Raw genomic sequence first — 21887 nt, 5'->3', positions numbered from 1 at the left:
GAATAAACATATGTTTCCATGATACTACCTGGAGCATACAAATTAGATAAGGATGCCCCATGCTACATAACACACCATACAGACCTTTATCTTTCTATTGACTGCATTGCATCTATACTAATCTTATACATCTGACTTCTTCATGAGTTACCATGCCAATCAAGGCCAATCACTGTTTATCTATGTAACCTCTGACTCTAATGCAAGTAGGCACATTATGAATTAAGTTCTAGTTGAACTGTGTCATTACTAATTCATGTGTGGGAATTATTAGTGTGAAATGGCTAGATTCAAAATTCAGCATTTTCATGTTGAGAACCTTCAGGAGTGACACATTTATGGGTATGTGAATAAGGTGTGAGAAGGGCAAGTTGAGCTAGATTCTGAAGAGACCCAACTGTCAAGACAAAACTATTTGCTCAGCTATGTTATTCAAGGAAGTGCTGCCTGCCATAGATTCAATTTTGAGCAGAGGTTAAGATGGTTAATATGGAAACTCAGAAATCTTCCTTGAATGTCCATATTCTAAGGTTGACACGTGGCTATTCCTAGGCACTGCCAGATGGAAAAGGAGAGAGAAGAGGGTTACTACAAACACGTGCTCTACTTCTGCTGAAATTGGCTGATGTCTGCATTTGGCTGGAAGCAGAGAATCTGGTGAAAGGGTGTGATCAGGAAAGAAGGGTCAATTTATGAGCAGCATAAGGGTGCAAGGGCAAGAGGAATTAAGCTAATACTGACAATAAAAAGAAAGTATGGAGGTAGTCCATTTAGGAAGCTCAGGAAATTTTAGCTTATAATATAAAACTTTCAAGGCAATTCAGCTTGATAGCTTTTCATTTTACAAGCCAAACTAACAAACATTATCTAATTTGAGCTCTATAATCTTGGGAATTAGATTCAAAGAATTTTGAGCTGATATGACCTCAGAGATTATTTTGATTGGTGCTTTAAGATATATATGGCTGAAAAAGAACCTCACATAAATATCCAGTATGAAAACATATGACACTGTGGCTTCTGTGGGGGAAGAGGATTAGAGATCTTATTTCTTGTTACATGTTACATTCCATTTCCCCAGGTTACTTCACCCCTGGGGTCTCGACTCAGAATAGAGATTGAGAATCACAGATCTAGTTGAACCATCCAACTTTTGAACATGAATAAACTGAGGACCCAGAGGTGAAGTGATTTTTCCACAGTCCCACGACAGATATGGCCAAACCAGGGATCCTTTTGCATTGTGGTAAGTATGAGAAATAGAGGCAACATAAGTAATTCCATTTTGTCAATGAAGAACCTAAATCTTGGGGTGACTCTATGATGACCCAAGGTCAGAATTCTGACTAATAAGTTCTAGGATCAGAACTCCAACCCAGGTCATCTGAAGTTACATGTAATAGGCCTACATGGCCATCAATATTTATAAATATATAATGTTAATTATACTACCCGAAATTCACAACCAATCTATCAGAATAAGCTGGACGTTTTGTACTTAACACATGCATATTAAGATTCCATCTTATTTCTACAAAATCAATTTACTAGCATAGGAACTTATGAATGTGTATATTAGAAAGCTCACTGAATTATTCTCATACACCCCATGTTAAGGAGATGCAGTACAGAAGTTTAGTATATATTATATTATGACACCATTGCTTCCAGAGAAAACTTTATCAGGTAGTATGAACCAACACATACAGACTAATAGTGGCCATCTGGAACACTGTATTGAGAAGAGTTTTTTGTTTGTTTGTTTGTTTGTTTGTTTGTTTTGAGACACAGTCTCGCTCTGTTGCCCAGGCTGGAGTGCAGTGGCACTATCTCAGCTCACTGCACACTCCGCCTCCTGGGTTCACGCCATTCTCCTGCCTCAGCCTCCCGAGTAGCTGGAACTACGGGCGCCCGCCACCACGACTGGCTAATTTTTTTTTTGTATTTTTAGTAGAGACGAGGTTTCACCATGTTAGCCAGGATGGTCTCAATCTCCTGACCTCGTGATCTGCCCGCGTCGGCCTCCCAAAGTGCTGAGATTATAGGCGTGAGCCACCACGCCCGGCCCGAGAAGGGTTTTGAAAGTATGTGCAAGTTCAGAGATGTCTATCTTGGGCATAGAAATGGAGAGTTCTTTACCCTCCTCTTACTCCCTCCATTGATAAGCAAAGTTATAAAATCAATAATTCAATATCTAGTCTTTTGTGTTAGTAGACCCAGAATAATATATTTCTGACTAGAATCAATCATAATAGGTTAGGAGCATTCCCATTCTGAAAGAGAGGGGATCGCCTTTGCATCGGCAAGGTTTCCAACAATGGAGTCTTTATTTTACAATATATTCTATAGAATGCTTCTTAAATGTTTTAAATGTTAACCATGCATTAAATTCACATTAGTTTTTTAAATAAAATTAAAATATCATAAAGTATAAATTAATTACACAAAATACTATAGAACAACTAAAGATCACTTTAATCTCCAAACTTAATCTCACTTTCCCAGAGATAACCACTATTATCAGTTAGGTACATTATCTTTTCAGATTTTTCCATGCATTTACATAGATCTGAAAATTTAATACTGATAATAAACTCTGAAAGATAGATAACTCCCTGTTAGAAAGTATTACCTATCCTGCATACTCAGTTTTCAACACTTCCTCACTCATTGATTAATGCTAAAATTCTGTTGCAGGTTTTGGGAATCACCTGTAAACAGTAAGAACAAAGTAGCAAGGCTGGGGCTCAGCTGTAGACAATAAAGCCTTTGCCTGAGGGTTGCAGGAATGAGAGGCCTCTCTGAGAGGCCCCAAGTCGATTTTGCCCTTCTCCAGAGACAGAGAGCTGGTCTACCTGAGGCTGACATGGGGAGGAAAGGCAAAGAGAAGTAAGTAACAAGCTGATTGTTCCCATTGAAGAATTAGAATAAAAACTTGATCTTTAGCTTGCTGCATTTCAGCTGGGAGGTAAAAAGTATGAAGAATGGCAAAAGTAGAAATGTGAAATGATTTCTCTTTCAATTGTTGGAAATCCTACCAGCTCTCCAGTTTTCTGAATTTTCTTAAAACGAAGGATATTAATTGCTATATTAGTTAGCCTGAGTGTCTATGATGAGACATGAAATAAAACCTTTTTTGTGAAATGGAGAAAAAAATAAAAACATTTATTCTTGCTCACTGAACCATCAATCTAGAGAAATAGATTTCAGAAAAAAAAAATCAGTGTACTCTATAGCATCTTGCATTATTTTTTTGGTCACGCATAATTCACCTAGTTCAATTCATATTTAATCCTATTCAAACCTATTTTTCAGGGATTGCCTGAATGTCAATGGTGATTTTGCACATTTTACAGTCACTTTTATAAAAAGGTAAGTGGAAAAAAATTCTATTTTCCATTTCCTGCCAGGTTTTATATTTTACCCTTCACTTGCAAAAAATGTCCAAATCCAATGCTTACACTTTAGAGGTGTAATTTGGTTCTAATTTTATTTTAAAAAATTTGCAGATAGAGTTAGTGGCTCACTGTATCGTTTTATTTTTTCTAAAGCAGTATAATTTCTGGAGTGCAAATGAGAAAGATTCAAGATGCCTGGTATAAGATATAAATTTAGTTAAAATTGTTCCTCTAGAGTGTAAATTATACATTGTGATCCTGATATTCTAGTAATATTAACAAAACTGATGCATAATCTTAAAGTTTATGTGCCTCTACCCTTTCATTTTTAAACCTTCTGGAGGATTAACATGCTGTTCAATAGTCTACAGACCTGCAGGTCTCTACTCTGGTTGCTTATCAAATTTTGCAATGCAGCTTTTAAAACATATGGATGTGTGGATGCCAGTCTCCATCTACACATTTTTGGCTTGGGCATCTCATGTTTAAAAAAGTTGTCAAGTGATTCTGATACACAAATGATGATTGCTTTTTATAACAAGGGTAAGTAAAAGTATCAGCTCCACCAAACCATTGGTAGATGTGATATTTCATGGAACTCTTCAATAATAAAGCACATAATACCTAAACTGGGGTATTTTGCATTTCTTTGTAATAGTTATAGACTAGAATAAATATAACTCAAAATACCCTCTAAATCTAACATTTGTAACTTTCCTCTGTTTAATGACAGCATTTGTGCCAATCAGCTACAATACTGTTTATGAGAAATCCTGGAATTGTGGATTAATTATCCTCTTTAATTGAATTGCTTTCAAGGTGCTTGGGATATATAAGAGACTTTCAATGAATCACTAAGAATATTCAAAATGGAAAATAAATCTACCTTGTTTCCCTCCCCTAAATAATGCCTTTGGATATATATTAATTCATCAAGTTGCATAAACATGACAAAGTTATTATAATTATTTTCTTACTTATATCAAGACTCTTCCTTTATGAATATATTGCATGATAGTAATTCTATTTAATAGTAACCTAGCAACAACATGCCTGAAGGAGGATGCTATTTCACTTAAGATGGGAAGCTTTGCAATAGATAGACTGCAGAAGACTCATATTCTCCATGGGCTAGGAAATCTTATGGAAAAAATCATCACCTCTTTCCCCCATGAAAAAGTTAGGCTAACTATGAAAGAGATCTCAATTTTCTCTCTTTTACGCTTTTGTTCATAATATTAGACATTTGTGATAAAATGCCTATAGAAAAAAGACAGCAATGAACAACTAAATTGTGTAAATTTTGTTTTTATTTGTTAAAAACAAGATTTATATATACAGATGTACAAATTTAATGTGTAGATTTTGATTACTTTCTTGGGTCAGTTTACCCACTTTGACTCAAGCTCTGACTGACATGATACATGAAAAGTCAATAAACTTACTTGAGATTTTGACTTTCTATCCTAAGTCATTGAACTATGTGGCTGGGTGGGTTTAAAGATAGTTATCGTCTTCTCTCCCTGAGACAATTTCTTAAAACAGGAGGTTGAATAACTCCTGAATTTATGATTAGTTGGAACATTCTGTTGATCTTTAGGATGAAATGTGCAACAAGAATGTAAAATGTTATTGAGATCGTGCATCATTTTTCCTTCTAAGACTTTATTTTTGAGCTTGTATATTATTCCTCTTGCTACACCAAAGTTGCTTTATTTTCTCACATGATAAACGTAACTTGATATCATCTTTAAAATATAGTGCCCCTGGCAGGAAAGCATCTCCAGAGAAACTTTGTTATTAGCATACATATGGTTATGCAAATACAAAAAAAAAATTTACACAAAACTTTCTCTAAGGATTTTAAGGGTCTTTATACCTATTATCTTCTGAGTCTTTAACACAATTCTGGGATGTGAATAGAGAATCAACATTATTACAGTACGTGCTTTCTTTTTTCATTAAAATGGTCCTGATTTTCTAGAGTTCCAATTGAGAGACCTATTAGTATTAAGCATTATTAATTGCTTATCAGTTTTAAGAGGAGTTTATCCAATTGCATCCATATATAAATATATATGCACATCATGTATGTAATATGCATACAAGTGTATAACATAGCATGTGTATATAAGCATGCATCTCATGTATTCTGTTTATGTGTGTTGATATTTGTTCCAGAATTATTTTTTGTGGCTTATTAAATTATTTCTAGATCATCTGGACAGTTTAAAAGAATTAAGAAACCTTTAATGCAAGACATTTAAAAGAGAAGGAACTTTTAATTTTAGTTTGTAGACCAAAAGGAAAGAATATGAACCCAAATTATAGGTTAAAACAATGCTGAGCCCACATAAAAGGCTCTTTGAATGTGAATATCATTGCTCTCAAAAGAGATGTGTTTTGTGGCAGTCAATAACCACTTTTCCACTTTTGGTCACTTGATTGGATTTTCTTCTTTCCTTCCCCAGAGAGGGCTGGAGGAAAGGGTTGGAACTCAGGGTGTCATCTTAATGAGATGAAAAGGATGTCAACCACAGCAGCCCTACTTTGTAGATACAGTTTTACCTGAAAAACAAAACAAAAAAGCAACGCAGATGGCACGGTGGCTCATGCCTGTAATCCCAACACTTTGGGAGGCCAAGGCGGGTGGATCACCTGAGGGTCAGGAGTTTGAGACCAGCCTGGCCAACATGGTGAAACCCTGCCTCTACTAAAAATACAAAAATTAGCTGGGCATAGTGGTAGGCACCTGTAATCCCAGTTTCTCGGGAGGCTGAGGCAGGGAGAATTGCTTGAACCTGGGAGGTGGAGGTTGCAGTGAGCCAAGATTGCACCACTGCAGTCCAGCCTGGCAACAGAGCAAGACTCTGTCTCAAAAACAAACAAACAAACAAACAACAACCAACTGCTTACTGGGATCTTTTACACAGGCTGGTACACCAAAAGTGGCTAGCTTATTAAAAAGTATCTGAATGCTTTCCCTTTAAGGTTGAGGAGATGGCAAAAATACTCGTTTTCACCACTCCTCTTCAACATAGTACCAGTGGTCTTAGCTAGTGCAATCAGGCAAGGAAAACAAATAATAAACATAAAAATTAGGAAGGCAGAAAGAAAACTATTTATTCTGCAATCAACATGACTATATATATAGAGAGAGAAAATCCCAAAGAATTTATAGGAAAAAAAAACCTCCTACAACTAATAAGTGTGTTGAGCAAAGTCACAGGATGCAAAATTAACACACAACAACCAATTGTATGTTTAGATACTAGCAATGTACAATTAGAACCTAACATTTAAAAGAAAAAGCCAAGCCAATTACAATAAAAGATGAAATCCTTAAGTATATATCTAACAAAACATGTACAGAATGTGTATGCTGAAAATTACAAAATTGTGATGAAAGGAATCAAAGGAAACCTAATGGCAACCTACTATGTTAGTGGATGTGTATAATCAATATAGTAAACATGTTAATTCTCTTCAGATTGATTTATACATTTAACCTAATACTAATCAAAATCCTATCAGGTATTTCTGTATATATTCATAAGAGGTAGAATGATTAGATAACCAAAATTATAGTTCATAAAAATGATAAATTGAATCTCACTGAAATTAACTTTACTTTGCAGAAAACATTTTAAAAGAATTGAAAGGCACACTACCAGATGAAAGAAAATATTTGCAAATTACATAACTACCAAAAAAGACTTGTACAAACAATATAAAAATAGTAAAACTCAAAGGTAAGAAAATAAACAACAAAATTGAAAAATAGGCAAAGGATTTGAGCAAACATTTTAAGACAAATAATATAAGAATAGTAAATAAGCAAAGGAAAGGGCTTTCAACATTATTCACCTTTAGGAAAATACTAAATAAAACTAGGATGAGGCCGGGCGCGGTGGCTCACACCTGTAATCCCAGCACTTCAGGAGGCCGAGGTGGGCGGATCACCTGAGATTGGGAGCTTGAGACCAGCCTGACCAACATAGAGAAACACTGTATCTACAAAAAATACAGTTTTAGTTGGACATGGTGGTACATGCCTGTAATCCCAGCTACTAGGGAGGCTGAGGCAGGAGAATTGTTTGAACCCGGGAGGCAGAGGTGGCAGTGAGCCGAGATCATACCATTGCAGTCCAGCCTGGGCAACAAGAGCTAAATTCGGTCTCAAAAAAACACAAACAAACAAACAAACAAAAAAAAACAAACTAGGATGAGTAACTATTGTGCTTATCATTAGAATGATTAAAGTGAAAAAAAATACTGACAGTAAGTTCCAGTGAGGATGTAAAACAGCTGGAACTCTAAGACATTGCTGATGAGAATGGAATATTACATAGCCACTCTAAAAAATAATTTGGTAGATTCTTATAAATTTAAATATACATCTATCATATGAGCCAGAAATCTCATTCTTAGGCATTTATCTTAGATAAATGAACTTTTGCTTTACAAAAAATCTGCATAGGAATGTTTATAGCAAGTCTATTCATAATTGCCAAAAACTGAAAACAAGCAAACGTCCTTCAATGGGAGAATGAATAAAAAAACTTTAGTAAATCTATAAAATATAATATTATGCAGCAATAAAAGTGAAAGAACTATGGATACATGCAACAACTTGGATGGATCTCACAGGCATTATGCTGAATAAAGGATCCAATCTCAAAAAGCTAAATAGTATATGTTTACATTTACATTACATTGTCAAAAAGGCAAAACTATAGTGGAGGATCATTGTATGCCAGGAGTTGGGTTGGAGGGAAGGGTGTAAATATAAAGGGATAACACTAGGGAGGTTTGTTAGGGTGATGGAACTGGTTTTAATCTCATTATGGGCATGTTTAAATGTATCTATACATTTGTTAAAAATCATAAAACTGCACATCAGAAGAAAAAAGTGAATTGTATTATATAGTAGTTTAAAAATAAAAAGAGCATTGAAATAATCAAAATTCATAGTAGTTACACTTTCAAAAGGTCTCTTTTCTTATGTGTCACAAAAATATGTAAATGCTTTGCTAGCATAAAAACAAGTCAAAATTGAAGAGAACAAAATAACAATGAAAAGAAGAACAGTAGTGGCAACAAAGCACTTACAGGTAAACTGCATTGACACAACTAAAGTACTGTGGAATTCTGCAATTATGAAGCACAATATCTCTTTTATTAAAATATCTTTCTCTTGAGTTTATTGTTAAATTCGGCTCCACGTAATCACTTGACCTTCTTTTCTTTTATGCTGATATTCATTTGAATGTTTTGATTAATAAGTTTTTACTCCAGGAAGGTATTCACCTCTTATTTCTGAAATACCTCTTTAAGTTCTGCAGACTACTCATATGCTAGTAATATTTGAATTTTAATGTACTCTCTAAAGATTATCCAAAAGCACTTAATGAATACTCTGGTTTGTGTAATAAGATATTGCTATTCACACCTCGGGATTCCAGACTACATACATATTAAATAGGAATTAATATTTATGGTTATTCCCATAATTATTCTAAAACAGGGACAAAGCTATGAAGAAATCTCATTTCTGATGTGCAGTTCTGTGAATTTTAATACATGTATAGATACATTTAACTATGCCCATAACGAGATTATCTGATTATCTTCTGATTATTGAACTAACAAAAGCCAAATCTAAATGTGTCTACTTCATAGATTTTAAGAGGAATGACTTAATTTATAAGTAAAATGCTTTTTTTTTTTTTTCTGGAGATGGAGTCTCACTCTGTTGCCCAAGCTGGAGTGCAATGGCACAATCTCGGCTCACTGCAACCTCTGCCTCCTGGGTACAAGTGATTCTTCTGCCTCAGCCTCCCGAGTAGCTGAAATTACAGGTGCACACCACCACGCCCACCTAATTTTGTATATTTAGTAGAGATGGGGTTTCACTATGTTAGCCAGGATGATCTCGAATTCTCGGCCTCTGAAAGTGCTGGGATTACAGGTGTGAGCCACCACGCCCGGCCTAAGATGCATTTTAAAAACTCTTCACATGCCTGATAAAACAAATACTAAACATTGTACTTTAAAAACATCTGATTCTTTGAAATCATGCATAGATTTTAGCCTCAAGATCAATCTCTTTCTCCTCTGGCTGAAAATTTTATTGGATTATCCCTTATTGAGGTGTTTATATAACAGAAACCTACCTGAATCTTTCAGAGAAAACTTTACTGTTTAATATTTAAGGTATTATAAAAGACATGATCTTTTATACAATCAAAGTAGTTTGTTTCCTACTCCTTCTAATTTAACAAAGAAACACTGCACTAAATTAGATATTTCTTTTATAAATATATCTTTTGTAATAGCACCTACTGTGTGCCGAGCTCTGAGGAAGGCGTTGAGACTATAATGGTTTTATGGGCTCAATTACGTCTACCTCTCTACTTCTCATAAATTCATCTGTTGAAATCCTAACACTTAGTGCCACATAATGCAATTATATTTAGAGACAGGGTCTTTAAAGGGGCAATTAAATTAAACCAAGGTCAACAGAATGGGCTCTAGTCCAATATTATTGGTGTCCTTATAAGAAAGGAGATTAGGATATAGACACACACAGAGAGAGGACCATGTGCCCACTTGAAGAGAAGAAGGCCACCTGCAAGCCAAGGAGAGAGGCCTCAGAAGAAACCTACGTGTTGACACCTTGATTTTGGACTTCTAGCTCCAGGATTGTGAGAAAATATATGCAAATGTGTACCCAACTGGTACTAAAGTCAAGTAGCGAGACAGAAACAAAAACACTACATGAGTAAAAATTACCATAGATTCTGTCTAAGAAAATTATGGGGGCTGCAGCAGAATAAAACAAAGGTACCTGATTTATTTTTCTAAAGGTGATGTTTTAAAGTGAGGATTATATGGTATGACAGTCACCTGGCTAAATAAAAGGAAAATTCTTCCAGGTAGAGAAAATGATAAAAAACAAATTTGAGACAGAGTTTGTCCCCCTGAAATGACTGAGAAAATGCTCTTGTAGGAGGAATTCAGTGAGTGAAGGGGAGAGAGTAGGCTGTGGGTAGAGAAACAGGCAGGGCTGGAACAAAGAGAATATTTTAGAATTCATTTTCTGTTTTTCAGCTCATTCTCTGTTACTTTTAATCTCACCTTTGGCCTTTGAACACCCTTCTGGGAGATAACTCCTAGTCCTTCTCTTCTGAATTTTTTTTAGGACTGCTGCATAGAGGCACATATTCTTGTGTTTTATTTAAGCCAGAATGTTGCCAGGAGCCACCTTCTTCTAGGCTCTAGTAAAGAGTAAAAGATTAGGCTCCAGTAAAGAGGAAAAGGTTAGACTGAGACATTTCAAGCGCCTTTCTACCTTAATATTCTGTGACTCTCTGCCCTTTTTCGCCTCCCTTAATTATTATATATTGCTTTAGGCTTGGATACACACGCAGGAACAAGACAAATAAAAAAATTGTTATAAAATCTTTAAATCATGGCTCATTACAGAAGAGCCCTTGAGGTGCCCTCTCATTAGTGTGGGTTGTTTGCGTGTTTTTATTTATTTATATAAATAAATATAGGAATCACCTATAGGTGAAGGAATCATGTAGGTGAAGTAGAAACAAAAACATTCCCAGTACAGGAAACTGCAAATTCAAATACCTTGAATCTGGAAGGAATTGTGTATTTTAGGAGCTAGTAACCATACAGCATGGTGAGGGTGTATTGTAACATGGCATCAGATGAAATTAGAAAGAAATGCATGGCTGATGAACATAGGTGAAGCTGAAAGCCATCATTCTCAGCAAACTAACACAGGAATAGAAAATCAAACACTATATGTCCTCACTCATAAGTGGGAGTTGAACAATGAGATCATATGAACATAGGGAGGGGAACATCACACACCAGAGCCTGTTTAGGGGATAGGGGGTAAAGGAGGGAGAGCATTAGGACAAATTCCTAAAGCCTGTGGGGCTTAAAACCTAGATGACGGGTTGACAGGTACAGCAAACCACCATGGCACATGTATACCTATGTAACAAACCTGCACGTTCTGCACATGTATCCCAGAACTTAAAGTTAAAAAAAAAAAAAAAAAGAAATGCATGAACCACATCTTGGCTTTATAGGGTATGGCCAGGAGTGGGTGGTTAGTGGATTAAATAACAACAATTATAAGCAGAAAAGTTTCGAAAATATTCAGTGGTCAGGGCCCCTTGTTTGTTGTCCTTAATAAAACCAAGTCTTCTAAGTTTGTTTGTATTTATTTCTATTTTCTGAACTTTAACTGTATATGGATAATTAATTTAATTCTCTATGCCAGTTTATATTTAAGCTGCCACATTTATTTTATCTTATTTAAGAGATTTTAGAGCAATATTCTATGATATAGGAGAATAAGGAATATATCCCCTTTCACAGAAATAACTTCAATGGAAGAATAAGAATAAAAATAGGACGTGTGTGTGTGTTATTATCTTTAAAAAAAAAAAAGTAGTGGCTGACCTCCATCATAGCAGATCTGGTTCAAAGAGCTTGAACTGAAACTTTGCAGTAGAACAAGGTTTAATAAAACTCAGCTCTACCTTTTTTTAAGCTGGTAGCTAAAGAAATCTTCTTTAACAAGTAAAATTAAACTGAAAAAGAATAAATCCATTGTGTTGAGGCTTTCTTTTGAAGTTCCAGCAGTGGTATAATTAAAGTAGGATTTCTGTAGGCAGCATGCGGGAAAAAGAGGAGCAAATCAGCTAATATGAAAAGGAGTACCTTAAAAAAAAAAAGTAAAAAGTATTAAGATTAAAGTTATTTAAGAACCACAAACTTTTATTGCGTATAGGGAGGTTGACTTCTTTGAGCTTTTGAAATTACATTTCAAAGACCATGGGAAGACATTAATAAAAGAAATATGTGGAATGAAGAATAGAAATGCTTTCTTGATGTCAGGATCTTTAAAAAAACAAACAAAACACTGGAAACTCTTGCACATAAAACAATGAAAGTTCTGTTTTTGAGACATGGAAAATAGATTGAAATGACCGTAGGACATAAGATATCCTGTAGATCTAGAGCAATCTTTTCCCCCAGAAAATACCCAATCTCAGTTATACACACATTTTTGGTCAAATTAAATGTAGTGTACACTCATTTGGGTAACTTGGAAATTTTCAAAAGGTAGAAAGAATTGGCTTGGACATTTTTACCATCCAAAGGCAGCAACCAATGACGGTCTAGTATTCCCCCTTCTGTCCACTTTATAATGTTGAGTTGTTTGGTTGGGATTGTGTTCCATCCTCCGTTCAGTGTTCTGCAGTCTCGTTATAAAAATGAACACTCACCCAATAATCAGAAACTTCTGGCAAGCCGATGCCAGAGTTACACGATAGTCTGTGTAGTAGACACAAGGCCATTTGCTTAAAAGGAACTTTATTGTGGACACTCAAGGTATTAATAATTTTTAATTTTTTTTAAGTAGAAGTAACAAAAAATAGATGATTCCTAATCCCAACATCCAGGGATAATCACTGATAACCTCCCTACATATTTCTTTTTGTTGTTTTTCTAAACCATTGCTAAATTGCTCTCCGAAATGTCTATCAGTTTACATTCCCACCAACAACAGCTGAGAGAGTCTGTTTCACTATAGTTCCATTAAGAGAATTATTTTGAAAGATTATTTATTCCTTCTCAATTTAATACATAAAATGGCATCTTGTTGATTTTTTAATGTACATTTTCTTGATTGTTATCCAAGTTTAAGTCTTTTTATTTGATGATTGTTAATTGCTTTTCTCCTTTGAAAATATCTTGTGCCTTCTACCTTAATATTTTTTAATCCTTTTCTCCTGTTTTCTAAGAAATGTTTATGTATAAAAGATGCTAATTCCACCCCTATGACAATGCTTTTTAAAGATGCCAATGGACTCTCAATACATTTTCAGTGTTTTATTGCATGGAGAAATGTTAAATTCTTACATATTCAGATTTATTCACCTCTTCCTTATATGAATTTTTTCTTGTTTTAAACCCTCTTTGAACAGCTGGAGATAGACTAAAATATACTAAATATTCATGTATTGGTCTTTTAGATCGTTTTGAAGTTTCATTTATTACAAGTCCTTTTACTTGTGAATACATTTATCACAGAAGTATTAAATAAATGCGCTTTTATTGAAGAAGATCAAGAAATATCTCTTTTGAGAAAACATGACTTTTCCCTTGCTTTCATCCCCCTACCAATTTTTCTATCCCAAAGTAATAAACAAAGCTAACATGTTGACGTATGCAATAAATCATTTTTCTTTGTATTTATACATGTGCTTGCCCACACTTATATACAAAACTACACATTTACATAAATAATATTATATTATATGCCTTCTTTCCTGGATCTTTTACTTAACAAGAGTCTTAGATATATTTCTCTGTCACAGAATATAAGTTATTTTTATTAGTTTTAACAGCTGTGTAATACTCCATAATATGGATGTACTACAAATTTAAATAATTATTTAAATAATTTATAATATATCCATATTATGAAATACATACCCTACATTTAAAGGTAATGATATTGTTTTTCATTTGGTTTTGTTAAGAAATTTTTTTTTTGCAATGAACATTGTTTTATTTCCCTCTTAGTATATACATGTATGTCTTTCATTCATGTCTTAGAATCAGAATTGCTATGCCAAATGAAACACATTTTATTTCAGTAGTTGTTTTAGTAGTTTTAATACATAATATTCATACATATTTATGGGATACATATGATATTTAATTACATGCATAAATTGTGTAATAATCAAGTCAGGGTATTTGGCGTATTCATAATCTCAAATATTTATCATTTCTCTGTGTTGGAAATATTTCAAATTCTCCCTTCTAATTATTGTGAAATATACAACACACTGCTGTTAACTATAGATGCCTTACTCTGTTATCAAACACTAGAATTTATTCATTCTATTTAATCGTATGTTCATGCTTATTAACAAACCTCTTCATCTACCATCATCATGCACAATCCTTCTCAGCCTCTGGTATGTATAATTCTACTCTCTACCTCCATGAAATCAACTTTTTAAATTTCCACATATGAGTGAGAACATATGACATTTATTTTTTTGTGCCTGGCTTATTTCACTTAATGTAATCACCTCCACTTGCATCTATGTTGCTACAAATAAAATGATTTCATTCCGTTTTATGGTCAAATAGTATTCCATTGTGTATATATACCACATTTTTGTATTCAGCTATCTGTTAATGAGCACAGTTTGATTCTGTATCTTTGCTATGGTGAGTAGTGCTGTGGTAATCATGGGGGTGCATGTATCCCTTTAATATACTGATTTCTTTTTCTTTCAGTAAATACTCAGTAGTGGGATTGCTGAATTGTACAGTAATTCTATTTTTAGCTTTTTAAGGAATCTCCATACTGTTTTCCAGGGGGGCTGTACTAATTTACATTCCCACCAACGATATATTAGTTCCTTTTTCTTTGCATTCTTGCCAGGATACATCTTTTTTTTGTCTTTTTATGATAATCATTCCAATTTGAGTAATATGATATCTCATTGTGGGTTTCACATGCATTTCCCTGATGATTGGGGATGCTGAGTATTTTTTAATATACCCATTGGTCATTTGTATGTATTATTTTGAGAAATATCTATCTATTCACATCCTTTGACAATTTTTTTAGATGAGATTATTTACTTTTTTCCTGTTGAGTTGTTTGAGTTCCTTGTGTATTCTGGATATTACTTGCCAGATGAGTGGTTTGCAGATATTTTCTTCCATTCAATAGATTTTCTTTCCATTCTGTTGTTTCCTTTGCTCTGCAGAAGCTTTTTAGTTTAATATGGTCCCATTTGTCTATTTTTGGTGTTGTTGCCTGTGTTTTTGAGGTCTTAGCTGTGACTTCAAAATCTTTGCCTAGTCCAATGTGTTTCCTCTATGTTTGCTTCTAGTAGTATTATAGTTTATTATATATGTTTAATGTTTTAATCCATCTCACATTCATTTTTATATATGGTGAAAGATAAGGTTTCAGTTCTATTTTGCACATGGATATGCAATTTTCCCAGCACCATTTTTTTGAACAGACTGTCCTTATCCCAATTAATGCTTTTGGTACTTTGTCAAAAATCGGTTGGGTCTAAAATGTGGGTTCATTTCTGGTTTCTCTATTCTGTTCCTTTAGTCTGTGTGTCGGTTTCTATACTAATACCATGCTGTTTTGTTTACTATGGCCTTGTAACATATTTTGAAGTCAGACAGTGTAATACCTTCAGCTGTGTTCTTTTTGCTTAGTGTTGCTTTGATTATTTTGGCTCTTTTTTGGTTCCATATAAACTATAGAATTCCTTTATTCTATTTCTATGAAAAATGACATTGGTATTTTAACAGGCTTTCCATTAAATCTTTAGATTGCTTTGGGTAGTATGGTCAATTTAATGATATTACTTCTGACCCATGAGTATGGGATGTCTTTCCATTTGCTTGTATCATCTTTAAAATTTTCAACAGAATTTTGTGGTTTTTTTTGTAGTAGTAGTGTTTTACCTTTTAGGTTAAATCTATTCCTAGGTACTTTATATGTTTTTGGAGCTATTGAGAATGAAATTGCACTCCTAATTTCTTTTTCAGCTAGTTTACTGTTAGTGTGTAAACATGCTACTGATCTTTGTATGTTGATTCTGTATCCTGCATCTTTACTAAATTTATTCATCAGATCTCAGAGTTTTCAGGATTATTATTGATATTTGAGAACTTGTGCCTGCCATTTTATTGATTTCTGGGGTTTTTTTTTTTTTTTGCATATCCTTTATTCCTTTGTTTCTCTCTTATTGTTTTATTGTGGTTTGGCGGGTTTCTGTAGTGGTAACATTTGAGTCTTTTCTCGTCCTTATTTGTGTTTTTACTCTACCAGTGGGTTTTATGCTTTTGTGGATTTTCTTTTTTTTTTTTTATGGTTAAGTACAGAATTTACTTAAACACAAAGCTTGGAAATAGCCACCTGGAAACATCAACTCTAAATGAATGGGATCAGTGTTCCAAAGTGGAGACATTAGGGTTTCACACACAGAGGGAAAGACAGAGACGCCTTAGCAAAATCACGACATTTTCCATTTAAGAGTAGTGCATAGGTTGCAGCAACTTGGTTGGTTACAGATTGATACACTTCAAGAAGGTTACTTTATCACTCCATGAGAAGGGACAATGATCCAAGGAGGTCTTATCTTTGGGGCTGCTTAGTCTTCCTAATTACTTACAGGAAAATACTTAGAAGTTGCCCCTGCATACCACTGGACTCAGGTTATATGGCCACATTCCTCTCAAGGCTCAGAATTACCTAAAGGTCAATAGCTTTAAATTGGATTTATTTGATGTTTGAATTATTTAATTTCCTACTGAGATAAAGTTACTATCTCCCTTGCTGTTTGCCTTTCAAAGAGAGCTCCCAAGTTTTTCAGAAATACATCCCTGGATCATTAAGCTGAAAAAAGGTTTAATTAGTTTCTAAAAAATGCAAAGTTAGCTGGGCATGGTGGCTCATGCCTGTAATCCCAGTTACTCAGGAGGCCGAGGCAGGAGAATCGCTTGAACCCAGGAGACAGAGGTTGCGGTGAGGTGAGATCATGCCTTGCACTCCAGCCTGTGTAACAAGAGAAAAACTCCGTAAAAAAAAAAAAAAAAAAAAAAAACCTCAGAAGACACAGAAAATGCATTTACAAATTTTCTAAATAAATGTCCTAAGAAAAGAGACAAAAAGAAAGAAAATATCTTCCTTTCTTTTTAAAAAAGGAATTATACTATACCTCCTATTTATTTGGTTGTTTGTTTGAGACAGGGTCTAGCTTTGTCATCCAGGCTGGAGTGTGGTGGTGAGATCAGAGTTCACTGCAGCCTCCAACTTTCTGGCTCAAGTGATCCTCTGACCTCAGCACCCGAAGCAGCTGGGACCACAGGTGTGCACCACCACAACTGGCTGATTTTTTTATTTTTATTTTTAGTAGAGATGAGGTCTCACTATCTTGCCCAGGCTGATCTCAAACTCCTGGGCTCGAGCAATCCTCCTGCCTTGGCCTCTCAAAGTGCTGGGATTACAGGTGTGAGCCACTGCTCTGGGCCCTGACTTTATTTCCATGAAAAATGAAATATTTCTTCACCCCCTTTGTGTAGTAGGCAGTTTTTTATGTCACCTTTCAGTTTCCATTAACCACTCAAACAACCCAGGACTTTGCCTAGTTTAATAAGCTGTTCTAATTGTCAGTCCCTGCTGCAACCAGTGCCCCACTCCACTCCTTTACTGAGGTCCCTGCCCCTCTCCGCCACCCTGCCCCAGATGGAGAGGAGCTCGCCCTGCCTGCAGGACGCATGACTCTGCCTGCTCAAACAAGGTGCTTTGCATGAAAATCATTTTCAACTTAAGAGGAAAAATGATTCAGTGTTCAGCACAGGTAACCCACTACAATATGTTGTTTTGCCTTCGATTGTTTGAAATATTAACTTAAAACATACAGGAAATGCCTGTCTTTACTGCAATCTCTGAACATAAATTGTGAAGATTTCATGGACATTTATCAGTTCCTAAATAATACTCTTATAATTTCTTATGCCTGTCTTTGCTTTAATCTCATAATCCTGTTATCTTCCTAAGCTGAGAATGTACGTCACCTCAGGACCACTGTTGTACAAACTGATTGTAAAACATATGTGTTTGAACAATACGAAATCAGTGCACCTTGAAAAAGAACAGAATAGCAGCGATTTTCTGGGAACAAGGGAAGACAACCATAAGGTCTGACTGCCTGTGGGGTTGGGCAGAATAGAGCCATATTTTTCTTCTTGCAGAGAGCCTATAAATGAACATGCAAGTAGAAGACATATCACTGAATTCTTTTCCCAGCAAGGAATATTAATAATTGATACCCTGGGAAAGGAATGCATTCCTGGGGGGAGGTTTATAAAAGGCCACTCTGGGAGTGTCTGTCTTATGCAGTTGAGATAAGGACTGAAATATGCCCTGGTCTCCTGCAGTACCCTCAGGCTCACTAGGGTGGGGAAAAACCCCACCCCAGTGAAATTGAGGTCAGACCAGTTCTCTGCTCTCGAACCCTGTTTTCTGTTGTTTAAGATGTTTATCAAGACAATACGTACACAGCTGAACATAGACCCTCATCAGTAATTCTAATTTTGCCCTTTGCCTTGTGATCTTTGCTTTGCCCTTTGCCTTGTGATCTTTATTGGCCTCAGAAGCATGGGATCTTTGTGATCTACTCCCTGTTCATACACCCCCTCCCCTTTTGAAGTCCTTAATAGAAACCTGCTGGTTTTGCGGCTCAGGTGGGCATCACGGACCCACCGATATGTGATGTCACCTCTGGCAGCCCAGCTGTAAAATTCCCCTCTTTGTAGTCTTTCTCTTTATTTCTCAGACTGGCTGACACTTAGAAAGAACCTACATTGAAATATTGGGGGCTGGTTACCCCCATACTTAACATAAACATTTTAATGTCAATTATGTTTGAACTCAATGTTAAGTCAACTCAATCTCAAGTCAATGCTGAAGGCTCTAATGTCAATTAAAGCTTTATGATTTGCTATAGTCATTGTATTTAGAACAATTATCTCAAAAATGAATTTTCTGATGTTCTGCAAGGATTAACCTCGGACTGAAGACCTTGCCATATGTATGACATTTGTAAGATTTCTGTCCAGTATAGATTCTCTGATGTGTAATACTGTGTGAATGTGAAGTCAAGACTTTGCTACAATCATCACACTTGAGGTTTCTCTCCTGTGTGAATTCTCCTATGTTTTGCATAAGATGAAGCTTGACTGAAGACCTTGCCACAATCTTGACATTTGTAGTGTTTCTCTCCAGCATGAGTTCACCAATGAACTGCAAGCTATGAACGATGTCTGAAAAATTTGCCACATTTACTATACTTGTAAGATGTCTCTTCATTATGGATTCTCTAATGATTTGCAAAGGTTGTAGCATTACTGAAGGCTTTGTGAGAATTATTACATTTGTAAAGTTTCCCTATACCATGGATTGCTTGATGATGAATAAGTGTAGACTGCCCACTAAAGGCTTTACCACACTCATTACACTTGTAAGGTTTCTCTCTAGTATGAACTCTCTAATGTTGTGCAAGATTTGATTGTTGATTAAAAGCTTTCCCACATTCATTATACTTGTAAGACTTGTCTCCAGTATAAATTGCCTTATGAATTACCAGGGCTGAATTTCAAGTGAAGATCTTGCCACACTCATTACACTTGTAATGTTTCTCTCCAGTATGAAGTCTACAATGGCCTATAAGAAATGAGTTCTGACTGAAGTCTTGCCACACTCATTATACTTGTAAAGTTTCTCTCCGGTATGACGTCTATAATGACATGCAAGGTTTCCTTTTTGACTGAAAACCTTGCCACATTCATTACATCTGTAAGATTTCTCTCCAGTATGAACTCTCCAGTATGAACCTCTCTGATGTTGTGCAAGGCATGAATCCCTCCGGAAAGCCTTGTCACAAACCTTACATTTGTATGGGTTTTCTCCAGTATGAATTCATTTATGTCTTTCAAGGTGTGACCTGCGACTGTAAACTTTGTCACATTCTTCACATTTGTAAGGTTTCTCTCCAGTATGAAGTCTATGATAAAGTGCAAGGTTTGCTTTTCTACTAAAAGCCTTGCCACATTCATTACATGTGTAAGGTTTCTCTCCAGTGTGAATTGCCTTATGCATTACAAGGGCTGAATTTCAAGTGAAGGCCTTGACACACTCATTACACTTGTAAGGTTTCTCTCCAGTATGAAGTCTCTGATGTTGTACAAGACATGAGTCATGCCAAAAAACCTTGTCACAAACCTTAAGGTTTCTCTCCAGTATGAAGTCTATGATGAAGTGCAAGGTGTGCTTTTCTACTAAAAGCCTTGTCACATTCATTACCTGTGTAAGGTTTCTCTCCAATGTGAACTCTCTTTTGGCATGAAAGGCATGAATTATCCCAGAAAGCCTTCTCACAAACCTTACATTTGTATGCTTTTTCCTCCAGTATGAATTCTCCTATGTGTTTTAAGTTGTGATCTGCAACTGTAAACTTTGTCACATTATTCTCATTTGTAAGGTTTCTGTCCAGTATGAAGTCTATGATGGCATTGAAGGTAAGACTTCTGACTGAAGGTCTTGCCACACTCATTACACTTCTGAGGTTTTTCTCCAGTATGAACTCTATGGTGGCATGGAAGGTATTGCTTCTGATGAAAGGCTTTGCCACATATATGACATTTATATTGTTTCTCTCCTGAATGGATTATGTGATGTCTCCTTAAGTGTGAGCTATAATTAAAGGCTTTGCCACACTCATTACATTGGAAAGGTTTTTCGTTCATATGTACTTCCTGTATTTGTGTGAATAATGAAGAATGCAGGAAATTATTCCTATACTTATTAGAAATATGGGTTTTGAGCCTACAAAAAATTATTTGGGATGTTGAAGCTGAGGAAGCATCATTGATAGACTGGTCCACTTGATTACCAATTTTCCCTTTAGTCTGAAATATGTGCAGTTCAGGTAGATGCAAATGAAAGCTTAATCCAAGCTTAATCCAAGCTGATCTTTCATGGGCTTGTTTCCAGTGTGCTTTTGATCATGTCAGTCTGTACTACCAGTTAACTCTTTGATTTCTGTCATGGGTGCTTCATGGCCATTTCTTTCAATTTCTTGCCACTGAAACTCAAAGTCCTGAATATCTTTCTTGATTTCTGGGAAGCAAAAATCATGTCTTTCCAATGTCCCTGTGTGGAACACTTCTGTATTGCCTTGCTCTGTTGATGAGAACTCCATCATGGATTTTAAAGAGCTATCCACAGACTCCAGGTTCCTGTAGTTCTCCAACATCATTTCCCTGTATAAAGCCCTCTGCTCAGGGTTCAGGCATTTCCACTCCTCCACAGAGAATTTTATAGCCACATCACTGAAAATCAAGTGTCCCTGAGGAAAAGCCATCCCTGGCTCCTTTTCTTTGCTCTTCTTGGTGGCTTCCTTACATAACATGAGTTTTTGGAAATCAACTGAACTCTCATCCGGACGTCTCAATTTGCTCTGGGTTGAGAAAGAGGTGCTGGAATTTCTAGGTCTGTGGGGACCCCATGTCGCCAGTATAGCAACACCAGAGAACTGGGAAGCATACAGCTGTGGTGTAGCCTTCAGTCCACCGCTTTTGTGGATTTTCATGATAGTAGTTATTGTCCTTTTGCTTCCAGGTGTAGAACCTCTTTCTTTTTATTCCAAGTGTAGAACTCCCTTCAGCATTTCTTGTCAGGCTGGTATAGTGCTGATTAATTCCCACAGCTTTTGCTTATCTGAGAAAGACTTTATTTCTCCTTCATTTATAAAGGATAATGTTTCTGGGTATAGTATCTTTGGCTAAATTTTTTTACATCACTTTGAAAATATAATTCCTTCATCACCTGGTCTGCAA

The 21887-nt window shown here is 35.6% G+C and overlaps 1 long non-coding RNA gene and 1 pseudogene across 1 annotated transcript; one reads left to right on the top strand and one right to left on the bottom strand.

Moving 5' to 3' along the window:
• The first annotated feature begins 1068 nt into the window (after positions 1-1068).
• LOC107985001 (uncharacterized) lies at positions 1069-3373 on the top strand. Its single transcript, XR_001752942.1, has 3 exons — positions 1069-1246; positions 2698-2889; positions 3316-3373. It is a non-coding gene; the product is annotated as an uncharacterized LOC107985001 (long non-coding RNA).
• A 16161-nt stretch (positions 3374-19534) lies between these two features.
• LOC100128713 (zinc finger protein 816A pseudogene) lies at positions 19535-21626 on the bottom strand (annotated as a pseudogene).

Source organism: Homo sapiens, chromosome 17, assembly GCF_000001405.40.
Source record: "Homo sapiens chromosome 17, GRCh38.p14 Primary Assembly".
Lineage (NCBI taxonomy): Eukaryota > Metazoa > Chordata > Mammalia > Primates > Hominidae > Homo > Homo sapiens.
The sequence above is the reverse complement of the archived record's forward strand: the minus strand, read 5'-3'. Positions and strand labels throughout refer to the sequence as shown.